The sequence below is a fragment of the Homo sapiens genome, chromosome 15 (assembly GCF_000001405.40).
Source record: "Homo sapiens chromosome 15, GRCh38.p14 Primary Assembly".
Classification (NCBI taxonomy): Eukaryota; Metazoa; Chordata; class Mammalia; order Primates; family Hominidae; genus Homo; species Homo sapiens.
In genome coordinates, this window is record NC_000015.10 from 76268748 (window position 1) to 76295871 (window position 27124).

The following is a 27124-nucleotide window of genomic DNA, read 5'->3' on the forward strand; positions in this document are numbered from 1 at the left end:
ACCAGAGTGACTCCATTTTGAATAAGGGCTAAGAAAAATGAAGCTGGATCACCAACAGGCAATTAAGAGCTGCACAGCCTGCAATTGCCTTGCTCAATTAATTCAAAAACAAAAAGAGGACCTTTTGGATTCAAAGTTGTGTTATGTTACTCTTAAATGCCATCTGGAGGGCAGAGATGAAAATCTCACCCTTGATATTGTAAAACTAAAATAGCAGGTTTTTGAAGCCTCTCAGGCTCACTTGAACCTGCTCCCTACAACTGGTATTTTCAACAAGACAGCCGATGGGTTGTCTACATTCAATCCTCTTAAGTGGATTAAGGCCATTGGAAGCTCTACACTTGCAGATTTTGTTCTAATAATTATGTGCTTGTGCTGTCTCCTTTTAGTCTGCAGATGCGGAAGCCACCGCTGGAGAGAAAGCTGCCGTCAAGAACAAGCAATGATAGCTGTGGCGGTTTTACAAAAAAGAAAAGGGGGGCATGTTGGGAGAAGAGCTGAGTGTTGGGAGAGAAACTGAGGCAGGGCTTGCATGTCTGACATAATATAAAAGAGTTTTGGAATATGTCTGGGGTCCAGGGTCTAAAATACCTAGTGGCCTTTGGAACATGTCTAAACTTGCTGGCTCCTTGCTTCTAGCACACCCATTATCTCAAGTAGCCATACGTTTCAAAGAAAATGCTACACCATCACAGCTGTAGCTCATTTGCTTGATACATCGCTTCCTTTCAACCCCCACATCCTCACCACCTGTTTCTTTGTTTGATCATCAATAAATAGCATGGCCTCCCAGAGCTTGGGGCCTTTGCAGCCTCCATACTAGAGTTGGCCCTCTGTTCCCACTTTCTCTCTTAACCTGTCTTTTCTCATTCCTTTGACTCCTCCGGATTTTGTAGCCCCCATGGCCTGGTGTTGGGTCTGATCACCCCAACAAAAAGCTATCCAATCATCTTAACAGATGCAGAAAACATCTGACAAAATTCAAAACACATTCCTAAAACTCTCAGCAAATCAGAAACAGAAGGGAACCTCCTCAATTTGATACCATTAAGAAAATAAATAGGTAAGCCATGGACTGTGAGAAAATATTTGTAAAACCCGTATCTAACAAGAAACTTGTAAAGGAATATATAAAATATGTCTACAACTCAATAATGAAAACAAGCAATTCAACTAAAAAAGGGCAAAAGATTTGAACAGGCACTTCATAAGGAAGATGTTTAAATGGCCAATAATACAACGTGCTCATCATCATTAGATGAGCATCAGATTAATTGCAGGGAAATGCAAATTAAAACCAGTAACATCCACCAAAATGTCTAAAACACCAAATGGTGAAAATGAGGAGCAACTAGAACCCACATACATAGTTGGTAGGAGTGTAAAATTGTGCAACCACCTTGGGAAAAAGCTACCCAGACAAAGATGCCAGAGTCCAAGTAGGGTGGGGAGGGTATCTATACAGGAAGACTATTCAGTTCCAGGTGTTGGAGCTTGAGTGGGGCAAGGAGGGCATCTGTGCAGGGTAGAGTACTGGCAGGGTCTAGGTTTCTCACCATAGGAGAAAGGCATTACAAATAGGAAAAGGGAGAAAACCAAAATTAACCCTGTGGTATGAGACTAGAATTGGAGATACCAGTGTACACTTATGGTTTTCAACATATACAACTGATACAGAAATATAAATGTAAATGTGTTTGTATATGCAGGTAAATATATATATGCATATATTTGCCTAGACATACACATGCCCACACACATTCTCTAGCTTTTTTCACTGAGATGTCATGGGAGCAGTGACATTTCAATAGCAATGAACATAACTAGCATTGAGATATTGGCTTCTAAATACTTTTCTTCAGCAAAAGGAACCAGGATTCCTTGGAGAAAGGACTGGTTCCAGAGATGGGACAGGAAAAATACAAAATGAGCCTGGAACATCTTGTCTTGTCAGGAAGTAAAAAAGGATTCAAAGAATGATGGGAACACATCAAAAAGACACAGAGGGGCCTCTCACTAGCCAAACATGGGACAATTCGTACATCAATAATAATGACAACCATAGATTTTTACCCATTGAATAAAATAGGTACCATAAGTCCATACTGATATAAACAAATGAATAAATCAAAAGTTTATTGGCCGGGCATAGTGGCTCATGCTTGTAATCCCAGCACTTTGGGAGACCAAGGTGGGCGGATCACTTGAGGCCAGGGGTTCCAGACCAGCCTAGCCAATATGGCAAAACCCAGTCTCCACTAAAAATACAAAAATTAGTTGGGCGGGTTGGTGCATGCCTGTAATCCAAGCTACTCAGGAGGCTGAGACATGAGAATCATTTGCACCCTGAAGGCAGAAGTTCCAGTGAGCCGAGATCACACCACTGCACTCCAGCCTCAGCGACAGAGCGAGACTATGTCTCAAAAAAAAAAAAAAAAAAAAAGTTTGAGGAAAACTGGGATATTTACATCATTTCAAAGTACCTCCATATAAAATATGTATTACAATGGGAAAAGTAACTTTACAGTGGAGAAGTTGGCACATATTGCCTTAATCAAAGGATTAAAGTGAAAATCATTAAATGAAAGACCAAATGAAATTGTATACCATCTGATAGGATGAGGTATCACTTCTGTGATATTCCTGTTCAAGATATATAATCTAAATTGAAGACATTAGACAAATCCAAATTGAGGGACATTCTATAAAACAGCTGTCTGGTAATCTTCACAATTCCCTCATGAAGTGAAGGTAAGACTGTGGAACTATTAATATTTAAGATTGAAGGACACATGACAGTTAAAATGTAATATGTGACTCTGCACTATATCCTTTTGCTATAAAGGACATTTTTGGAATAACAGGCAAAACCTGAATGTCAGGGTCTGATGCTTAGATGGTATTATGTATCAATGTTAATATCCTAATTTAAAAAGTTGTATTGTAGTTATTAGGAAAATGTCCTATATAACCTATTTGGGGATGATCACAGCAACTTACTCAAATGGCCCATAAAAATATAGGTTTTTTGTTCTCTACTTGTAAGTTTTCTGTAAATTTGAGATATAGTTTCCAAAAAAAGTTTCAGATCCTTAACAAAATGTACATACATAAATTACGTGTGTATATATGTATATGCACATATATGCGTATATGTGTGTGTATATACACACACACACACACACACACACACCCTGAGTTAATGAATCAAAATTCTCTCGGAGGCTGTATAGTTTATGTCAAAGTCTTCAAAGCATTTAATATATTTCCTTATGAAAAAAAATTTCGATGGTTCTATATCCATAAGAGTAATATTGAATAATGCTGATGGTATGCCATTTATTTTCAATATAGGAAAGGATACCACCAGCCACTCCCTGCCACTCTGCTCTTCTATTTGATAACCACAAGCACTCTCTGTCAGTCAAAATAAGTCTCTGTCACTTCAGTGTATATCTCTGAATTTCTTTCTTTCTTTTTTTTTTTTTTTTGGAGACAGTCTCGCTCTTGTCGCCCAGGCTGGAGTGCAGTGGCACAATCTCGGCTCACTGCAACCTCCGCCTCCTGGGTTCAAACAATTCTCCTGTTTCAACCCCCACAGTAGCTGGGACTACAGGCACATGCCACCACACCCAGCTAATTTTTTGTATTTTTAGTAGAGACGGGGTTTCACCATATTAGCCAGGATGATCTCAATCTCCTGACCTCGTGATCCAACTGCCTCAGCCTCCCAAAGTGCTGGGATTACAGGCTTGAGCCACTGCGCCCAGCCTGAATTTCTTGTAGACATATTTTTGGTTAAGAAGGTTGTGGGTCTGCTGATCTTTTATGAAATCAGACCTACAGATGTCTACTTATGTAAAATTGAAAGATTTCCACAAATAATGTGTGTGCCAGTCAGGCATGGTGGCACATACCTGCAGTCCCAGCCACTCAAGAGGCTGAAGTGGCAGGATTAATTGAGGCTAGGAGTTAGAGGCTGTGGTGTGTTATGATCATGCCTGTGACCAACCCCTGCACTCCAGCCCAGGTAACATAGCAAGACCCTGTCTCTTAAAATATATACATATATATATATATATATGCGCATGTGTGCTAGAGCTCATTAAATGTCAAGGAAGGCTCAAGCTCATCTGCTCAATAAATCCACTCTCACAGCCTAATTCGGTATGACAAGCAAACAGGCCACATGATGATGTGACTTAATTTATGAATAGTTCTAATATGTATTTTAAGCTTTAAATCTTCTTTTCTGACTTCTTTTCTGACTTCAAGTAAGTTGAGTAACACAAAACGTATTAAGCATAAGAAGAAAGACTGGTGCATTAGGTTATCAAAATTAGAAATCTCTACTCATCAAAAGAAAATGAATAGGAAGTCCTAGCATGGGAAAAATACAACACACATCTGACAAAGAATTTGTATGTAGGTTATATAAAAAACTCCTACAAAGAGAAAAGAAAAAGAAAAAGAACTCAAGTTTTCAACAGGCAAAAGACTTGAACAAATACTTCGAAACAAACTTCAGGCCGGGTGCGGTGGCTCACGCTGTAATTCCAGCACTTTGGGAGGCCGAGGCAGGTGGATCACAAGGTCATGAGTTCAAGACCAGCCTGGCCAAGATGATGAAACCCCATCTCTACTAAAAATACAAAAAAATTACCTAGGCATGGTGGTGGGCGCCTGTAATCCCAGCCACTTGGGAGGCTGAGGCAGAGAACTGCTTGAACCCAGGAGGTGGAGGTTGCAGTGAGCCGAGATTACACCACTGTACTCCAGCCTGGGTGACAGAGCAAGACTCATCTCAAACAAAACAAAACAAAACAAAACAAAACAAAAAAAACTTCAAAAATAAAAAATAAGCCTTGAAAATGTTGACTACAGCATCTTAAAACTGTGAATGAATATCTCATAGAATAGAGCACTGGGATGTAAGATTTTTTTTTAATGGACAAGACTGCATATTGTTTTGAAATATATAAAAAACATGTTTTCCTGCATACTATACAAGTTTAAACTGGCTGAGACTCCTATTCACTGAAAATCTGTATCACCTAAGAAATATAAACAGTCATTATCAACTGTGATTCAACTTTGAGACCAAAATTTCCTGCTCTTCCAAGTTTTAGACAGGCTTAACTGAAGAATATTCTAGTATCACTTATCTATGTAGAACAGAATTTTCTGAAATTGATACTATAAGACAAAATACAGAAACTAGGTGTTCAGGAAGATATAAGACTAAAACTGTCATTCACAGCTCCCAATTTCAAAATTCTGTTCATTAAAATAGGTTCATTGTTCTCATTGATTTTATACTCTCTAAAGGCTTTATGGAAATAAATCTTATCAATGTGAACTTATAAATCTGAGTTGATAAAATGCTGCTTTTATCAATGTTTTATTTGATGTAATATGACTTAATTTGATAAAATGTTCCACTGCTTTAAAATACTTGAATAATAAGCTGGATTTAAGAACTGCTGGGCATTTTACTAGGATCAAGAACTACACAGACCTTGTGAAAATGACATATTCACCATGGTACTGGCTAACTGCTCAGGAACACTGAGTAAGGTAAATCACTGAGATCACTGTTCAACAAATACATACAGTACTTATCCCCATAACATTTTACACAGCATATTTTATTGCAATACTTACTGGTGCTACTATTTTTCCCGTCTGTCCAACTTGCATGTCATTGGGAACAAAGCCAGCATCAACAGCAGCACGGGAAGCACCAACTAAGGGGAAAAAATATTTGTCATTTTTTTCAAGCTCTATTATTCAGCTAGTTAGGATATTCACTGATAACTGTAAACAAAGACATTGATTTAGAATTCTAAGTACTAGTATATTTTATACAGAAAGCTTCAAGGAATAACTTCTTTTTATACCCAAGTATTTCAGATTTTAATTTGGGCTTAACTCTTCTGCATGCTTTATCAAAATGGCAGTCATAAAATTTACACTATAATGTTTAGAATGTCATTATATAATGCTCCTTTAAGTAATAACTTCACAAGTTTTGAAGAAAGGTTTTACAATATTACCTCTTGTAATACTATAAAGAGAAGATACTGGACAAAGAGTTTCATATAACAAGATGAAGGTTTAACCAGTATTTGCTATCAAATTCACAAATAAAATTTAACAGACTTTCTATTCTCATTCAACAGGAGTCAACAATGAGCCCTATACTTGGAGTAAAACAACCCCTTCCCCAGCAGGAGTCAAGAATGAGCCTCAGGCCTCTTCATCTCAAGCTGAAAAGGACAGAGGGAGCCATAGACAATACAACTAACAACCTCCAAAAACGCACAGCCTCACCACCACTATCTTGAGTCAGCCAGGACTAATCACACCCTGCCCTTCATTATGTCTGTCCCCATAAGCCCCAAACTCAAAGGTTATCCTTCATAACCCATACACTGATCCCCATAATGCTCTGCATGCTCCCTAACCTGCACCAATCTCCCATATTCCTAACCCTTACACTGTGATTTCTGGAATATGGAGCCCAATATCAGCGAAACTTAAGTTATATTAAGTTTTATTAAAATGTAAGTTTTAGAACTTAAAACTTTAAGTGTATTAAAACTCAGGTTTTATTTACCTAATAAAACTTAACTTTAAATTGGCTCCATCTGAAATTAATATAGCTACTCCTGCTTTCTTTCAATTAGCATCACCATGGTATATCTTTCTCCACTCATTTACTTTATATGTATATGTATTTTTATATTTAAAGTGGGTTTCTTGTAGACACCATATAGTTGGGTCTTACTTTTTCATCCACTATGACAATCTTTATCTTTAATTGGTGCATTTACACTACTGATGTTGAAAGTAATAACTGACACAGTTGGATTAATATCTACCATATTTGTAACGGTTTTCTATTTGTTGCCCTTGTTCTTTTTTCCTATTTTTGTCTTCCACCAACTGAGCATTTTAAATAATTTCATTTTGTCTCTTTTCTTAGCTATTAGTTGTATTTTTGTTTTACTTTAGTGCTGGTCCTAGAGTTTGCAATATTCATTTACAGCTAATCCAAGTCCACTTTCAAATAACACTTTACTACTTCACAGGTGGTGCAAGTACCACTTAATAGCAAGATAATCCTAATTCCTATCTCCTGTTTCTTACATTGTGATTCATTTCACTTATACATGAGCACATAAGTAATTGTAATACATGAGCATATGTAATTGAATACAATGTTATTATTTTAAACTGTTACCTATTAGATCAATTAAGAAAAATAAAACTTATTTTACCTTCACTCATTCCCTCTTCAATGCTCTCACTTGCTTTATATACACCAGAGTTTTTGACCTCTATCATTTCCTTCTCTCTAAAAGAACTTTTAACATTTCTTGCAAGGTAAGTCTATGACATATTCTGCCAATTTTTGTCTGAGAAAGTCTTTATTTCTCTTCCATTTTTAAAGGATAATTTCACAGGGTATAAAATCCTACATTGGTGAGTGTTTTCTCTCAGCACTTTAAACATTTTACTACACTCTCTTCTGCTTGCATGGTTTCTGAAAAGAGATCAGATCTAATTATTATCTTTGCTCTTGTACAGGTATGGTGGATTTTTTCCTCTGGCTTCAGTATTTGTTATTTTTTATTTCCTGTAGTTTGCAAATGATAGGCCTAGTTGAAGTTCTTCTGGCATTTCTCATATTTGGTGTTCTCTCAGCTTCCTAGATCTGTGGATTGGTATCTGACATTAATGAGGGGAAATCCTCAGTCAGATATTGCTTCTGTTCCTTTCTCTCTTCTCCTTCTAGTATTCCCATTACATGTTATACTCTTAGAAGCTGTTCCACAATTCTTAGATATTATATTACAGTTCAGGTTTTTTTGTTGTTGTTGTTTTTTTCTTTTTCTGGTTATTTTTCTCTTCGCTTTTCAGTTTTGGAGGTTTCTACTGAGATATCCTAAAGCTCAGAGATTCTTTCCTCGGCCATATCCAGTCTACTAAGAAGTCCTTAAAAGGTATACTTCATTTCTGCTACAATGTTTTTTATCTCTAGCATTTCTGTTTCTTTCGTGGATTTCTAGCCCTCTGCTTATATTGCACATCTTGCTTGCTTTTTATTCATTAGAGACCTTAGTATACTAATCACAGTTGTTTTAAATTTCCAGTCTGATTATTCCAGCTCAGTCTGGTTCTGATGCTTTCTCTGTCTCTTCAAACTGTCTTTTACCTTTTAGTATATCTTGCAATATTTTCTTGATAGCCCAACATGATGTACACGGGTAAAAGGAAGTGCTGTCAATAAGCCTTTATTACATGGTGGTAAGGTGTTGGGGGAAAGGAAGCATTCTACAGTCCTATGGTGACGTCTTGGTCTTTTACTAAGACCGTACCTCAATAAGACCATATTGAGACTGTGAACTTTACACATGCTTCTCAGTTCCTCTCTCTCCCTTAGGTGGGACAGGATGGCTAGAATGGCTGAAGTTGAGTATTTACCTTTCCTCAGGTCAGTTAGGCTCTGATAAAGCCCCACAAGTTAATCTCTGGTTAAACAGTTCCTCCTGAAGGAGATCAGACCTTGTTAAGAAGAACAGAATGCTCTGGCATATTTTAAAATGGTTCCCTTTCCCGTCCCCTTGTCGGAAGCATGAGGTGATTTTTCTCTAATTTTCACCATGTGGAAGAGCTCCTGAAGGTAAAATTCACAAAAATGTTGGGACCTCACACTGGATACCCCTGGAGTTTTTTGTCAAAAACAAAAACAAAAAAAAAAAACAAAAAACCAGAGTCTCACTCTGTCGCCCAGGCTGGAGTACAGTGGTACGATCTTGGCTCACTGCAACCTCCATCTCCAGGATTCAAGCGATTCTTCTGCCTCAGCCTCCCAAGTAGCTGAGACTACAGGTGCGTGCTGCCACGCCCAACTAATTTTTGTATTTTTAGTACAGATGGGGTTTCGCCAAGTTGGCCAGGCTGGTCTCAAACTCCTGGCCTCAAATGATCTGCCCACCTCGGCCTCCCAAAGTGCTGGGATTACAGGCATGAGCCACCGTGCCCTGCCCACCTGGAGTTTTTAACACGGAACCTCCAACAATTCATCAACAAGACTTCAAGTCCCCCTACCCCACCACCAGCTCCTGTGGAGGTTGCTACTTTTGGGTTTCTGCTCTGGGAAGTTGTGATTATCTGTATTTGCTTGTTGGTCTCTCCAGTTTGGGGGACAGCAGTTTGCCATGCAACCTCACTTCTCCTATGGATCTAAGATGAGTTTTGATTCTTCAGTTTGTTCAGTTTTTTACTTGTTGTTAGGACAGAATAGTGACTTCCAAGCTTCTTATATGCCAGATTGGAAACCAAAAGACCTACACTAGTCTTATCTTAATTCCTGGAGATTTCAACACTTGGAGATTTGAACAACTCTCCTCCAGTGAGCTTGCCCACCACCCTACCTCAGCCACACCCATGATCATATCCTAGACATTTTCTTTACCAAGATTGCTTAATACTCCCAATTTTCAGCGTCTTTCTGACCTCCTCTTTCCAGCAGACATTCACCTCCAACATTCCTCTGACCCCACTGTAATCTACAATTCTATTAACTCTCCCCCATTGTCCTCTTGTTTTTGCCCACCTTAAATTCTATGATCAATCATTCTAACCATTCCTTTGCTATGCCTTCAACTTCCTTGTTCTCCTCTTATATCACACCACACTCACTCAGAAAAACCTCCCTCTTCCGGCTGATTAAGCAACCTCTCCAGTTTTTCCATAGCTCTTCTCCTGTAGTTCAGCATTACTGGAGAAAACATCCAAATATCCAACCATGTGAAGTATATTTTCCTCTAAATAAATAAACCTTAATTCCTGGCAGTTATACTAAGTTCCCCCAGTCCTTTCATTAGCTGTTTCCTAAACTATAATTTCATATATTTTCTTCTTTTCAAACTTCCTATACCTCTTTAGCATCCTCATTCTCAGCTGATGACTTTGCTTCTTATTCACTGAAAAAAACTGAAAGGATCAAAAGAGAATTTCCACATGCTCCAAGTAACACATCTACCCACCACCTGCAGCTATGTCCACATTGTCTCTTGTCTACTCAAGGACATCATTCCAGTAATTCTGACTTCCCTCAGGGGAGAATTACTGAGGGAGAATAAGGGAGTGACGTCCTTGAGTGAAGTGAAAAAGTATGTGAAGGGAAGGGGAAAAAGTGAAGAGAAAAAATATGACTACTTTTCCCTCTCTACTGGAGCATTCCCATCAGCATAGAAGCATGTTATTACCTGTCCCAGCTTTATGAAGTCCCCCTGTTGGCCAGACTCCTCTTCTAGCTACCATCCATTTCCCTGCTTCCCTATATAGCAAAATCCCTCAAAAAGTTATCTGTATTCACTGTCTCCAACTCCAGCCCTCCCATTCTATCTCTAAAAACCTTTTCATTAAAATATAACCTACACACAGAAAAAGACAAATGTGCTGCTCAAGAGCATTATCATACAGTGAAGACAACCATGTAACCACTACCTATGCCTTTTATTATTTATTTTTTTAGAGAGGGTCTTGTTCTGTCACCCAGGCTGGAGTGCAGTGGCATAATTACAGCTCACTGCAGCCTTAACCTCCTGGGCTTAAGTGATTTCTCCTGCCTCAGCCTCCCAAGCAGCTGGGACCACAGGTGCACACCACCATGCCTGGCTAATTCTGATATTGTTTGTAGAGACGGGGTTTTGCCGTGTTGCCCAGGCTGGTCTCAAACTCCTAGGCTTAAGCAATCCTCCCACTTTGGCCTCCCAAAGTGTTGGGATTACAGGTGCGAGTCACTGCACCTGGCCAGAATTGTTCTTTTAAACCCACTCTAATCAGACTTTTGCTTCCATCACTCCACTGAAACTGCTCAGTGGCCAACGATGTCTAAGTGGTTAAATCCAATAGTCAATCTTCAGTCCTCACCGTCCTTGACCTGTTAGCAGTGTGTGTCATAGTTGATCAATTTTTTCCCCCCTCAATGAAACACTCCACTTGGGTTCCAAAACATAGCCTCTGCCCTGGTTATCTAGCCTAACTTATCACTCCTTTTTGGTCTTCTTTCTCCTTTTCTCTCTTAGCTCTCAATCATACAGGGTTTATGGCTTAGTCCTGAGTTTTTTTTTTTTTTCCTTAAGAGACAAAGTCTCATTCTGTTGCCCAGGCTGTAATGCAGTAGCTATTCACAGGCACAATCATAACACAATACAGCCTCAAACTCCTGGGCTCAAGAGATCCTCCTGCCTCAGCCTCCAGAGTAGCAGGGACTACAGGCTCACACCACTGCACCTGGCCTGGGACCTCTTTTTTTATCTACACTCCCTCCCTTGGTAATTTCATCCAGTCTCATGGCTTTCAATATCATCCAAATGAACTGATTCTCAAATATGTACCTCTAGCCCAAACTTCTCCATGGAACTTCACATTCCTATACCAACTGCTTAACTGACATGTCTACTCAGATGTCTGTTATTAGACATCTCAAAGGTTAATATGCCCAAAACTGAACTCCTGATCTCTCCCTGGAAACTGCTTCACTCGAGATATTCCTTATCTCAGCTAACTGTAACTCCATCCTACCACTCGCCAGGAAAAATACTTTCTCTCATAATCCACATCCAATCTGTCGGGAAATCCTGATGGCTCTACCTTCAAATATATATCTCAAAACTGACAATTTCTCCCCACATCAACTGCAACTACCCTGGTCCAAACTATGAGTATCTCCCACCTAGACGACTGATATAGCCTGCTAATTGATCTCCCCATTACTATACTTACCCCCTACAGCTTATTCACAAAACTGCAGCCAAAGTGATCCTTTAAAAATGTGTTAGATCATGTCATTCTTCTGCTCAAACCTTGAAATGGTTCCCCATTTCATTCAGAGAAAGAGCAATCTCTACAATGTCCTATAAGGCCCTATGTGATCTGGTCTTGTGTTGCCTCCCAATTTTATCTCTTGCTACTTTCTCTTTTGCACTTTCCATTCCAACACTGGCCTCCTTCCTATTCGTCAAATAGGCCAGATGTGTTCCTGCGTTAGACAGGCTCTGTGCACTTTACTAGTTGCTCTGGTCTGGAACACTCTCCCTCAGATCTCCTCATGGGTCGCTTCCTCACCTCCTTCAAACCTTTGTTCAGATGTCTTTTTTTTTTTTTTTTTTTTCAGACAGTGTCTCTGTCACCCAGGCCGGAGTACAGTGGCACAATCTTAGCTCACTGCAACCTCCACCTCATGGTTCAAGTGATCCTGCCGCCTCAGCCTCCTGAGTAGCTAGGACTACAGGTACGTGCCACCATACCCATCTAATTTTTGTATTTTTAGTAGAGGTGGGGTTTCACCATGTCGGCCAGGCTGGTCTTGAATTCCTGGCCTCAAGAAATCCGCCCACCTAGCTAATTTTTATATTTTTAGTAGAGGCGGGGTTTCACCACGTGGGCCAGACTGGTCTTGAACTCCTGGCCTCAAGTGATCCGCCCGCCTTGGCCTCCCAAAGTGCTGGGATTCCAGGCATGAGCCACCACACCCAGCCAGATGTCTCTTTCTCATTAAGGCCAAATCTGGCTATCTTATTTTAAACTTCAATCTTTCCCTTCAATTCTCCACCCCCCATAACCCATCCTATTAGTCTCCCTAACACTTACGACTCTCTAACATTTTTTTTTTTTTTTGAGACAGAGTCTCGCCCTGTTGCCCAGGCTAGGGTGCAGTGACATGATTTCTGCTCACTGCAACCTCTGCCTCCCAGGTTCAAGCGTTTCTCCTGCCTTAGCCTCCCAAGTAGCTGGGACTATAGGCACGTATCACTGCGCCCAGCTAATTTTTGTATTTTTTAGTAGAGACGGGGTTTCCCCATGTTGGCCAGGCTGGTCTCAAACTCCTGACCTCAGGTGATTACAGGCGTAAGCCACCACGCCTGGCCCATATTATATTATTTACTAATCTATGGTGTTAAGTGTCTGTAGTAGGCAAGAAAATGGCCCCTCCAATGATATATTCACATCCTAATACCCAGAACCTGTGAATATTACCTACGTGGCAGCAGATATATATAAAGCTAAGGATCTTGAGAGGGAGTTTATCCTGGATTATCTACATGGGCCCTAAATGCCATTACACGTATCCTTTTTTTTTTTTTTTTTTTTTTTCCAGACGGCATCTCACTCTGTTACCCAGGCTGGAGTACAGTGGCACAGTCTCAGCTTACTGCAACCTCCGCCTTCTAGGTTCAAGGAATTCTCCTGCCTCAGCCTCACAAGTAGCTGGGATTACAGGTGTGCACCACCACATCAAACTAATTTTTATATTTTTGGTACAGATGGGGTTTCACCACGTTGGCCAGGCTAGTCTCAAACTCCGGACCTCAGGTGATCCGCCCACCCTGGCCTCCCAAAGTGCTGGCATTACAGGTATGAGCCACCACGCCTGCCATGTATCCTTATAAGAGGGACACAGAAGGAGACTGAATGCAGTCCCACAGAGAAGATGATATGAAGACAGAGGCAGAGGTTGTAGTGATGTGGCCACAAGCCCAGGGATATCAGAGTAGCCACCAGAAGCTGGAAGAGGAAAATAACAGATTATCTCCTAGAGCCCCCAGAGGGAGTATGGCCCCTGCTAACACTTCAACACATCTCTGGCCTCCAAAGCTGTGAGAGAAAAACTTTGTTGCTTTAAGCCACCAAGTTTGTAGTAACTTATTACTGTAGCCAAAATAAACTAATAGCACCTAAAATAGTACCTGGAATATGGCAGACACTTGATAAATACTTGTTCAAAGAAAGAAGGAATGAAAATAAACCCTGAAATACTACCATCTGATTATACAGTGTCAATATAATGCCTTTATTCTGACAAAACTATTACTGTTTCTATGGGTACACGTGTTATGTAATAGAAATTTCGCACAGGAAAACCACAGAAAGTTACAGGAAAACCCTCGAAAGTTATATGTTAAAGTCTTAAAAGGAGGGTGAGATGACAGAATTGGGACATTTTAATATATATTCATTGTAGTGATTGTGTAATTCAAAAATAATCAAATGTCTTTAAAAAGATTTTTTTTCAAAACAGGGTCTCAATTAGGTTGCCTAGGCTGGTCTCAAATTCCTAGGTTCAAGCAATCCTCCTAACTCAGCCTCCCAAGTAACTGGGATTACAGACACATGCTACTGTGCCTGGCTTAAATTTTTTTGGTTTTTCAAAAAACATCACTCCCTTCTCATCAATGTACTTTTAGCAATAGGTTCTACCTTACCTATAAATGGTTAACTACAATTCTATATTTTTAACTACAAACTTAAAAACTTTAAATGTATTTCTATTTGTATAAGAGTTATATTAAGACCACCAAAAAAAAGATGAAAAACCAGGGTATTCCTGAATCTGAAGTAGGCACTGAAACTAACATTTCATTATTTTGTCTTTTATTATTTTTGAGACAGGGTCTCACTCTGTTGCCCAGACTGGAATGCAGTGGCACGACCACAGTGCACTGTCGCCTCCACCTCTCAAGCTCAAGCAATCCTCCCACCTCAGCCTCCTGAGTACCTGGGACTACAAGCACACACCAATATGCCTGGCTAATTTTTAAACGTTTTGTAGAGATGGGGTCTCACTACATTGCTAGGGCTGGTCTCAAATTCCTGGGCTCAAGCAGTCCTCCTGCCTCAGCAACCTAAAGTGCTAGGATTACAGGTGTGTGTCACTGCGCCTGGCCCATTTCATTATTTTTAAAGTGAAGAAAAAAGAAAACCTACTAAGATTAGGCAAAGGTAAGAGATACTAGGAGGCCTTCTCCTCACTGAATGCTATATACCATTTACTTGGAGGCTTAAGAAAAACTGGTTCAGAGAGAAAAACTGAAAAATCCGGAAAAGTAAAATAATTTGTAGGGCTGAAAGACTTACACAAAAATGAAATAATGAAGAAAAAATATTTCCAACAAAAAGGGAATATCTTTCTACTAAGGAAAATAACTTTACCTGCAGCATGTAGTTGATCTGCCAAGTCATATAACAACTTAAAGTTCTCTCCACTCTTCAAGCCTCGACCTCATTTAAAAAGATGAAAAAAAAAAATTAGGCAAACATCAAATACATTCTGGAACAATTTTGCTATTTTATATACTGGAGTAAATTTTCATATTATGTAACTGCCATATTAAGCATGTCACCTCCTCTATAAACCTTTTCTGGCCTCTGACACTCCTATACTTCTATAAAGCATTCAACACTACTATGATTACCTAGTTAACTAATTGTGTAATTAATATGAGTTTTTTTCCCACTAGAATAAAAACTCTTTAATTTCAGGATCTATATCTATCTTGGTCACTGCCATATCTGCAATATTTAGCAAAACTCTACATATAATAGATGCTCAATAAATTTCTCTGAATGACTGAATAAAGTTATTATTTGAATGGGAGTCATCTCAAGGACTTTAAACTCCTCGAGAGGAAGAACATTCTGCCTTTTCATCTGTTTCTCCAGCACTTGGCAATAAGCCTGTCATAGAACAGATAACCAATATACATTTCTTGAATAAATAAGTGAATAAACAAGTCAGGGCCCAGCTCGGTGGCTCACACCTGTAATCCCAACACTTTGGGAGGCTGAAGTGGGCGGATCACCTGAGGTCAGGATTTCGAGACCAGCCTGACCAACATGCAGAACCTCCGTCTCTACTAAAAATACAAAATTATTATTTTTATTTATTTATTTATTTATTTTTTAGGAGGAGTTTCACTCTTGTTGCCCAGGCTGAAATGCAATGGTGCGATCTCGGCTCACTGCAACCTCTGCCTCCCAGGTTCAAGCAATTCTCCTGCCTCACCCTCCTGAGTAGCTGGGACTACTGGCATCCACCACCATGCCCAGCTAATTTTTTGTATTTTTAATAGAGACGGGGTTTCACTATGTTGGCCAGGCTGGTCTCGAACACTTGACCTCGGGTGATCCACCCGCCTCGGCTTCCCAAAGTGCTGGAATTACAGGTGTGAGTCACCGCGCTGGGCGTAGTGGCACATGCCTGTAATCCCAGCTACTCGGGAGGCTGAGGCAGGAGAATCGCTTGAACCTGGGAGGTGGAGGTGGCGGTGAGCAGAGATTGTGCCATTGCACTCCAGCCTAGGCAACAAGAGCGAAACTCCATCTCAAAAAGAAAAAAAGAAAACGAAAAACAAGTCAGATATATCACTTCAAAATATTAATTTTTTTTTCTCAATGATACTTGCAATAGAAGGCTGTCTGAAAGCTTATTTTGTTGGATGTTTAATTGCAAGGATTTAAAAAGCATAACAGTCCTTATTTTTTCAAAAAGTTAGTCAGTGGGCCATAAAAAAATCATTGTTTTTAAAGACAAGGAGCATGATGTATAAAAATAAGCATGTCTTATGCAATATTAACAGTTTTGATATTAAATGTTAAGAAACTTTTTAAAGAGTTATACACAAAGACATGGACAACTCTGGAAATCTTTCCAAGTGGAAAGAAGGGTAGGAATTATACACAAGATGGCCCTGAAATTCAAGCCAGTTCTATCTATAATTGAGAAGCCAACCATACTCTGCAGAATTCATGGAAGTCCATCAATAAGATGGCACCAAGTGGCAAAGTTATGCAGATAAGATTTATACCATGCTCCCCCTGGTGCCAGTGACTAGGTGTGCAACAGAAACCCCAAACTGTGTATTATGCTCATAATTTCATTTTCCTAATTGGTTAAATGGGAATAATATCCCAAACTTCCCAACTTCTTACATTTGAAAAAGATCTGTGTACTTCTAAAATAAATACTAAAAATAAAAAAAAAAATCAAAGTATTTTCAATTTACATCTTTTAAGATTAATATTTCACTTACCACCAGATACCACCACTTTGGCACCTGTTAGCTCTGGTCGATCACTTTTTGTTAATTTCTGGTCAAGCCACTCTGATATTTCCACTGGTGAAGTACTTGATGCTGCATACATTAATACATAATAAAACAATGACTATGATTTCAAGTTCTATAACAAGAATTATTTTCAAGAGAAACACACAAGTATATAATTCCACGAAATTTAAGTTAATTACTGTGAATTTTCAGTGCTCCTAATTAATTCTCTCTGATAATGGAAAGACTTAAGGAGACTAGATTCCAGCCTTTGCCACATTAGCTGTATGACTCCAGAAATCATTCAATTCTCTGAGTCTGAATATAGAATAACTTTCTTTCTATGAGGTTCAAATAAGACACTATATATGTTAAAGTGTGACACCCTCCACACGTTTCCTATTACATTCTTCTGTTATACTGAATCACCCAAATATAATAGGAAACAGTGACAAGAGTAAAAAAGCTTAATCTTAATAGATCCTCTGTCTCCCACTCCCTTGATCTACCAAAGCAACTATCCTAGTACCAAAGATAATGTGAAAAAGATGTAAGTTATACATATTTATTATTTTTGTATAAGCTTGGGAATATCATTTAAATTGAACTTTCAAATACTATTCATTAGAAATGTAGGCAGAGGTCATCTCTTATTATAATACAGTCTATGAATTAAAAAAGTAAGAAACAAAACAAAAAAACTCCAAATGAACACTCACCCTTTTCTGAACTGGCACTACCGCCACTTGTTGCTGCAGCATCAAAGGATGTTCCACGGACAGAAAACACTTTCACTTTCTCATCACACTTCACTGTACATAGAGCATTTCCTGAAACATACAATCTATTTCTTAAAAGCAACAGCAAAAGGCAACAAAACTAGCACTCCTTTGATGCTTGGAATTTACTTCACAGACAAGGCAAGAAATAACTATTGACCAGTTGTCTTCTAACTCTATTAAGTATAGGAAAAAATGAACCATAACGGTGAAGAAACATATCAGCAGATATCTGTATAACCCTGGATGTCTTTAAAAGCAGGACAGGTACTACCACACCTAGAAGGAAGAAACTCGAACAGGCATCCACACTAAGAAGGTACACTACACCTCTAAAAGGAATATGAACAAAGCTTCCTTCTCCAAAAACAATACAATCAGTAACTCAAAACTATGAGCTGCAACAACTTAGGAAGAATGTAGCTACTGTGCATGCTAAAGGAGGAATATCTTGAAAACACAATAGGTCATAAAGAACAGGTATGAATGTGCTAAGATTTTAAGAGGATTTGAGACACTCTGGATTAGCTATCACATTAACAGTAACCTAAACCATGACAAAATATTTTCCCTCAAACATTATGGAAGATGAAAAGTCTAATTTCAGAATTAGCCATTCATACTGGAATACACAACTTTAATCAGGCAAAAAACGAAGAGTTCACTGCCTTCTCCGACCCCACTAGAGACCAGTGTGCTAAGCAAAAAATCAACTGAAGAGACACTGAAATGAATTTCTTTTCTTTTTCTTGAGACAGGGTCTTGCTCTGTTGCCCAGGCTGGAGTGCTGTGGCATGATCACAACTCACCATAGCCTCGACCTTCTGGCTCAAGCAATCCTCCCACCTCAGCCTCCCAAGTATCTGTGACTACAGGCATATGCCAACATGCCTAGCTAATTTATTTTATTTATTTATTTTTGAGATAGGGTCTTATTATGTTGCCCAGGATAGCCTCAAACTCCTGAGTTCAAGTAATCCTCCCACCTCAGCCTGCCAAAGTGCTGGGATTATAGGCACGAGCCACTGCAGCTGGCTAAAATGAATTTCTTAATGCCTATGGAAATGAAGTAGAAGCAGCAAAGATTGAGAATACTATTTTTTTTTAAGTTTTGCTTTTCCAGGTACCACTTACAAAATATATTAAATTGTGAATCTAATTTTTATTGATCACTAGGAAAATATCACCCTGCAAACTGAATAAACAGGCAGGAAATCTCTGTGTTTGCGATCCATCAGAGAGAATGCCATGTCAAGGGCCACCAGCAATTCTAGACTAAAATTTTCCTCAGAAACCTTTAAGATGGTCCACTTAAAGCAATTGTATGGTTTGATTTAAAATTCTATCTTCAAGATTAATTTATGCTTTTCACTAAAATTTAACATGTTGATTAATTATCTTCCTTGAGTACTCACCTGCATAAATAGTTCTCACAAATGTGTCAGGTGACTTGATTGCAATGATGTCAGAAATCGGGGCAACCTCAAGTTTGGCTGCTACTCTGGGCAAAAGGTTCTAAAAGCAAAATAAGCAGTGAGTTAACACACATACATAGTGATGGAAGACTATAAATGATCAGTAATGACATATTCTAAATGCATATTCTGTAGAAATTTTAATTCAAATATTTTATATTTCGTGTGCACCTTTGGATACACAACTTCAAGCACAGCTTTTTAAATAGCCTTTGAGATTGAGTACTTACCATTACTCTAACTACATTAAGAGTTTCATGAGTTTTACAGTATTAAGCCACCTTAATGCAATATATTGAACTATGAGATATGAAATTTAATAAACATCAATTACCAAGTGTGACAGTTGTGGATTATTGAATTTAGATAAGAAAAGATAGAACAAATTTAGAAGGGTGGTAAAATTCTCAAATACTGAAAAAGATTATGCTTGTATACATTTACTTAATGTATATAAAAGAAAAAAATTCACAGCAGACATTTCACCTTTTGTTTAAATTGATATTGTATAAAAAAAAGAGTAAGGCCAGGTACAGTGGCTGACACCTGTAATCCCAGCACTTTGGGAGGCTGAGGATCACCTGAGGCCAGGAGTTTGAGACCAATGTGGCCAACATGGTGAAACACCATCTCTACTAAAAATACAAAAAATTAGCCGGGGATGGTGGTGTATGCCTGTAGTCCCAGCTACTCAGGAGGCTGAGGCATGAGAATGAGAATTGCTTGAACCTGGGAGGCGGAGGTTGCAGTGAGCTGAGATAGTACCACCACACTCCAGCCTTGGTGACAGAGCGAGACTCTGCCTCAAAAGAAAAAAAAAAAAAAGGAAAAGAATAACACTAACCTGAAGAACAGCCTGTGTAGTACATATTTAAAAAGCAACAAAAATAAAATAAAGGTGTGTTCTTGTGCTTGTACTGAAATAGATGCATGTGCTAACTTTGTCCTCAGCAGCAGGAATCCTTGGGAAAGTCACAGTTCCCCAAGTCTCAGTTAATTCTTCTTCTTCTTCTTCTTTTTTTTTTTTTTTGGAAACAGGGTCTCATTCTGTTACCCAGGCTGAACTTGCAGTGGTGTGATCATAGCTCACTGTAACCTTGAACTCCTGGGCTCAAGAGATTATTCTGCCTTGGCCTCCTGAGTAGCTGGGACTACAGGCGCACGCTACTGCGTCCAGCTCATTTTTTGGTTTATGTTTTGTTTTTTTCTGTAGAAGCGGGGTCTTGCGTTGTTGTCCAGGCTGGTCTCGAATTCCTGGCCTCAGCTGATCCTCCTGCCTTGGCACCCCAAAGTGCTGGGATTACAGACATGAGCCACCATGCCCATTCTGAAGCACCTACTTAATCTGGTTTAAAAACCAGATTTGTCAGTATTTAAAGCTAGCTTCAGTAAGTAATCCTCCTCCTGAACCACCTTCTTTAACTGTTCAGGAATTATTACTGGAATAGTTACTTGGCTGAACAGATTATCTTACAAATTTTATGTTATACAGACTTTGCCTCTTTTAAAAGTTTTAGAACTTTCTAAATTGCTCAAAATTTAATGTCTTTTGTATTTTCATTATCCCTTGTTTAACATATCTTCAAGAAATTTTACCATGGTACTTAAAAGTATGTTTTCCTGGATCTGGTCTTCTATCTAAACATCATGAGGGTGGATGGTACACAGATATCTATCCTATTAAAAATATATCCCATCCAACAAGCTGCCTGCATGGTTTCTGGGAAGAAGAAGCAATAATTGAGTTCTTTTTGTGCATAAAAAATGACATATTTTAAAATTCTAGCAGACAAGTATAAAAGTGTGTTATCTCAAAACCACAGCTGGTGAAGGACTATCATACAGCAAATTGTTTGGCTTCTTCTGATAGACGTTTCTCATTCCAAACCCATTTACAGGCCGCACGACCAGCTACTATTATGTGACCCTTATTCTCAAAACTCCCATCTGTTACAACATAGCAATCATGGCCAGAGTACTAAAATCTAGCTAATGACAAACACCCTTTCATGGTCTAACACTCTGTTAGGTGAACTGTCATCATAGAAGGAAACTCAAGGCTCATGAAATTATTTAAATCATCCAATATATAATCAAAACTCTCAGAGACAGAACGGTCCACAAAGATTATTTCACCCATCAGACTGGAGGAAAAAATGTTAAAATGTATACTACCAAGTGTTGACAATTAAGTAATAGGTATCAAAATTTTTAAACTACATAGCATTTGACTCAGTGATTTCACCTCTAGAACTCTATTGTAAATAAATTCCAGCCCATGTTTACACAGATACATGCATGACCATGTTTTCTTGCAGTAAAGTATATAAATGCAAAAAACTGGAACCAAGTTAACTGTCCTTAGCTAAACATGGAATCTTATGCAGCCATAAAAAAAGAGAAACATTATGAGCCAAAGTCGCTACTCTTTTTTTTTTTTTTTTTTTTTGAGACAGGGTGTTGCTCTGTCACCCTGGAGCACAGGCTGGAGTGCAGCAGTGTAATCTCAGCTCATTGCAGCCTCAACCTTCCAGGCTCAAGCAATTCTCCCACTTCAGCCTCCCAAGTAGCTGGGACCACAGGCATGCACCACCACACTCAGCTAATTTTTTTTTTTCATTTTTTTGTAGAGATGAGATCTCACTGTATTGCCCAGGCTGGGCTACAACTCCTGGGCTCAGACAATCCTCCCAAAGTGCTGGGATTACAGGCGTCAGCCACCGCACCCTGCCCAAGTCATACTCTTAAGTAAAAGCTACTATTCACAAAACAATTCATGCCATATTATCCCATTTTAGAAGTAAAAAATATATAGCTGTACATGTACTGTAATTTAAAAATCCATAGAAGGAGGCCTAAAAGAATGTACAATTGTTAACAGCTATACTTCTAAAGAGGGGAGGGTGAGTTGGGAATAAGAAAGCAGGACTTTGACACCTTGCTCTGCACACTGCTGTACTACACGCAGTCTTCCTAATAAGGATGTATTTGTGTACAACTTATTTTACAATTTTTAAAAGTGAAAATAGGCTAAGCACAGTGACTTATGTCTGTAATCCTAGCACTTTGGGAGGCTGAAATGAGAGGATGACTTGAGGCCAGGAGTTTAAGACAAGCCCGCACAACATAGGGAGACTACATCGATACAAAAAATTTGAAAATTAGCTGGGCATGGTGGCATGTACCTGTAGTCCTAGCTACTCAGAAGGCTAGGATAGGAGGATCGTTTGAGCCCACAAGTTGGAGGGTATGTTGAGCTACAATCGTGCCACTGCACTCCAGTCTGGGCAACAGAGCTAGGCTGAAGCAGGCAGATCACCTGAGGTCAGGAGTTCGAGACCAGCCTGGTCAACACGGCGAAACCCTGTCTCTACTAAACATACAAAAATTAGCCAGGTGTGGTGGCACGCACCTATAATCCCAGCTACACACGGGAGGCTGAGGCAGGAGAATGGCTTGAACCCAGGAGGTAGAGGTTGCAGTGAGCTGAGATTGTGCTGCTGCACTCCAGCCTGGGCGAGGAAAGTAAGACTCCATCTCGAAAAAAAAAAAAAAAAAAAGTAGGCCAGGCGCGGTGGCTCACGCCTGTAATCCCAGTACTTTGGGGGGCCGAGGCGGGCGGATCACGAGGTCAGGAGATCAAGACCATCCTGGCTAACACAGTGAAACCCCGTCTCTACTAAAAATACAAAAAATTAGCCGGGCGAGCTGGCGGGCGCCTGTAGTCCCAGCTACTCGGGAGGCTGAGGCAGGAGAATGGCGTGAACCCCGGGGGGCGGAGCCTGCAGTGAGCCGAGATGGCGCCACTGCACTCCAACCTGGGCGACAGTGAGACTCCATCTCAAAAAAAAGAAAGTAAAAATAAAGACTAAAAATGACACCTTATTAAGAATGGAACAAAAGAAAAGAGAGCTAAGATAACACCCACGGCCACAGAGAGAGAGCAAGAAAAATCCACTGACGAATTCCTTGTCTTAAGCTCCCATTACACTCCTCCCTCCATTTTTAACTTTATGTAGACTGCTATCCATCTTATAACACACTCATTCTTCAGACACATCACAATGCACATGATCAGATTACAGCTTTCTTTACCTTAAGGATGTCTTCAACCACCACAAGCCCTTTCCAAATTCCCTACGTAGATAAAATTTGGCTTTTCTAGATATCCATCAGCCATCCAAATAAACCATCTCTTAAAATGGGCTACTAATAGAAATGACTCTTGCTCGTTCACTCTCTCTCTCACATGCAAGCAGAATTCAGCATTACTTTTACATGCAGAAAATTTTAAAATAATAGCCTAATTAGAGTTTTCTCCACAACATAATTTGAAAACCTGGAAATGGTAGTTTTAACGGAAAATTATGACAAAATCTTGAAAGAATAAATTTTAGCAAAACTACCACATCAATTCAGATAAATCCAGATTGGCTACATAAACAGTCTGTTGCATACTTTCAGCACAATGAAATCTAACCCTTTCAAGCAGTGATATCAGATTCCACATTCTCAACCTTCTCACCTTTCCGAAGGCAGATGCTCCAGCACAGATGTGTGTGTAATTGAACTGCTTCTGAGTTGCCAAAATCAATGGTGTCAGTTCCTCTGAGAATTAAACACATTTGATAAAAAAATATTTTGAAATACTTTCATATTCATATATTCAAGCGTAATTTAGACACTACATTTTTTTCTACTGGAAAACCTCACCTGGAAGTAGGCCTTTGTACACATCATGCTGAGCCACCAGAACTTTTGCTATGCCTGCTACTTTACAGAGATCTTGTGCCACCTATGATTAAAAGATAAGTTCCTAATTATCCATCTATCAGAAATATACAAATAAAGCCACCACTATAAATATCAACAGATCATAAAATCTTAATGGCCAACTGTAAAAATTATTCTTATTAGCAAAAGGGCCAGTTAAGAATTAAAATATATTCCGGCCGGGCGCAGTGGCTCAAGCCTGTAATCCCAGCACTCTGAGAGGCTGAGGCAGGCAGATCACCGGAGTCAAGAGTTCAAGACCAGCCTGGCCAACATGGTGAAACCCCATCTCTACTAAAAATACAAAAATTAGCTAGGCATGGTGGCGGGCACCTGTAATCCCAGCTACTTGGGAGACTGAGGCAAGAGAATGGCTTGAACCCAGGAGGCGGAGGTTACAGTGAGCCAAGATCACACCACTTCACTCCAGACTGGGCGAAAGAGTGAAACTCCATCTCAAACAAACAAAGAATTAAAATATTAAAATACATTCCTTAACAAAGAAAATCTAATGCCAATAGATCTTACTACTGACTGACCTTACACTGTCCAACTACCAAGCATTTCAACAAAAATTCCTGCCTTGAAAAAGAAAAGTGCTAATTGACAAACCAAAATCAACATGGCTCTTTATTCAAATTTTGTTATAAATTGTGCTTTTTACTTTTGGTTCAATCCAAGTGTAAGTTCAATGTCCTGGAAATGGTGAAAATGAAGTTCTCTAGTAACATCCCATTGTCAACCACTGAGTTCCTGCCCACATACACATATTTATCTATGACAAAGCAAAATATTTCCTATTTTAATTCTTCATTTTTCCTGTTTGGAATTAGAATGGGGTTCTGAGAAAGCTTTTTGATGATTCAGATTTTCTATATTCAGAAGGCAATTAGATTTCCCCTTTTTAAGTATCTTTATTACCTCATGGCTGGTTTCCACTTTAGCTAAGTCATATCAGTCATACTATCGTCTTCTGTCTCCTTGTTTACCTCCAAACTGATTCATTGATTCACTGATGAGTAGGATTAAAAGGCTGTGCCTTGTGCCACCCTCATATGAACTGTTAGCTTGCAACAATATTCACTGAAGAAAGGATGCAGTGCAAGAATACATTCTCTGCTAAACCAAGTGTTCACCGGCATACCATTTGTACTACAGAGGCCCTTTATTATGGATGCAGCTGCATTTAGCTTCTCAAACTTTAAGAGAATTTCCAATTAAGAAACTCAGTTAATTGCAATGTAGCTGCATAGCAGCATGGGATAGAAAATGGGGCAGAATTTTCCCATTGAAACTATCTTGTTTTTACTGGCAAAACGGCTGGCATTATACAGAAGAATAACTTGCTGTTTATGACAAGTAGCTGAATAAAATGGTATAAAACCGAACTCTATTAAACGATCTCTTCATACAGGTACTGGTTGTTTTCTTTAAAATTAGAACATGACAGGTTAGGATTGTAACTGAGTACAGAAGACGATTTCTATTTTGATTTTTCTCAAAGTAGTATAAAGTATCAAAGTCTTTTTAAAGTAATATTACAATAATTATTTTAAATCACAGCAAAACAAACAACAAATCACAAATTCCTATATATCCAAAAACAGGGAAACCAAAAAGATAGCTTAGCCATCATATACTGTGGCTAATACAGACATACAAATAGATAGCTTAGCCATCACACATCACACATTGTGGCTGTATCAACTATGTAAGATCCTACAGTTGTTAGCAGGAATTGGGTAAAGAAATCCACATAACTAATCATAAACCCACCAGAATATGTTCTTTTATCAATTTCATGTAAAAAATTAGACAGAAGCAACACCAGCAGTATGAACCTCCATTATCACATGCTCTGAATTATTGTTATTTTTAATATATTTTTTGAGACACAGTCTCACTTTGTCACCCAGGCTGGAGTGCAGTGGTACAATATCTGCTTATTGCAAACTCTGCCACCAAGGTTCAAGTGGTTCTCGTGCCTCAGCCTTCCAAGTAGCTGGGACTACAGGCATGCATCACCACACTGGCTAATTTTTATATTTTTAGTAGAGACAGGATTTCACCATGTTGCCCAGGCTGGTCTCAAACACCTGACCTCAAGTGATCTACCCACCTCAGCTTCCCAAAGTCCTGGGATTATAGGCATGAGCCACCATGCCCAGCCAGCATCAATTATTTAATAAAACATAAAATCCTCAAAACATACTCCCTTCAGATTTATTCCTCTGTGAAGTTTAAGCCCCCAACTACACACTCAGCAACTCCTATACCATGTGAGAGGGAACTGGTGGCTGAAGGTGTGTAAGCTTAACTGAAGCACTCATCTATATTGCAGGCTGGTGGTATAGACCCTGCAAATCATATCATAGCACCTTTCTAGAGGGTTAGTGTTCCAAGCTGTTATCATCTGATTTCAACAATAACAACAACAACAACAACAAACAAACCCAAGAACATCTTTTAGTACCAGCTAGAGTTTGGAAAGAATAGTACTTAACATTCAAATTCTTCTACCAATTAAAAATTAACATCCATAATACTTTGTCCAGATTTACCACTTTCAGGAATTAGAAGCAATTACCAAGTATATTCATCAACACAAAAAAGAGATCAGCTATTAACCTCTAAGGGGACTCAAATATTATCATTCCACTTGGTACCTGATGGCACATGATGGTGCCAGTGGAACTAAATCAAGTATTCTACTGCATTTCAAAAGATAAAATGCTTAGGGAAGAAACCTTTTAGTTCCTTTTTCACACATGGTAATGGTTGTGACACTGACCATTTAATGAGGATTAGAGCCCAGTTTGGGTTACAATCCTAAGCATAATTCTCTGTTGCCATCTTTTCCTGTCTCTTGATGGAGATAATATTTGCTATGGCTGACCTTAAAAATTTCTCACCTTGTCACATTTGGTTCCAGCTACTAAGCAGGACACTTCACCTCCAAGGCGTGTGGCTGCAGTAATGGTATTTAAAGTAATGGGTGCTAGGGAATCATTTGCATGCTCAGCTATTACCAGGGTACTCTGAAATCGTAGCAATGAGGCCTAAAAAGAGCAAAAAGGAAAAAAAAAGGTAAAGAATGTTGTCACAGGGTTTTTTTTTTTTTTTTTACTAATTGTTAAGCATGTATGCTTTAAAGAAAACTATTCTGTACACAATATTATTCTATAAATTTATT

General features: G+C 39.1%; 1 protein-coding gene across 3 annotated transcripts in view; it reads right to left on the bottom strand.

Annotated features, from left to right (window-relative positions):
- Window positions 1-27124, bottom strand: part of ETFA (electron transfer flavoprotein subunit alpha) — a 96117-nt gene that overhangs the window by 53395 nt on the left and 15598 nt on the right. For 2 of the 3 annotated variants that reach the window (XR_007064434.1, NM_000126.4), the window contains exons 2-9: window positions 26844-26990; window positions 23872-23953; window positions 23684-23766; window positions 19099-19198; window positions 17624-17734; window positions 16890-16991; window positions 15010-15078; window positions 5665-5747 (exon numbers count right to left, since the gene is read on the bottom strand). Coding sequence is in view for 2 of the 3 variants with exons in the window: in NM_000126.4 (NP_000117.1) it covers window positions 5665-5747; window positions 15010-15078; window positions 16890-16991; window positions 17624-17734; window positions 19099-19198; window positions 23684-23766; window positions 23872-23953; window positions 26844-26990 (777 nt within the window). In the remaining variant the exon portion in view is untranslated. The remainder of the gene's footprint in view (window positions 1-5664; window positions 5748-15009; window positions 15079-16889; window positions 16992-17623; window positions 17735-19098; window positions 19199-23683; window positions 23767-23871; window positions 23954-26843; window positions 26991-27124) is intronic. The other variant, NM_001127716.2, reaches the window with a different exon arrangement.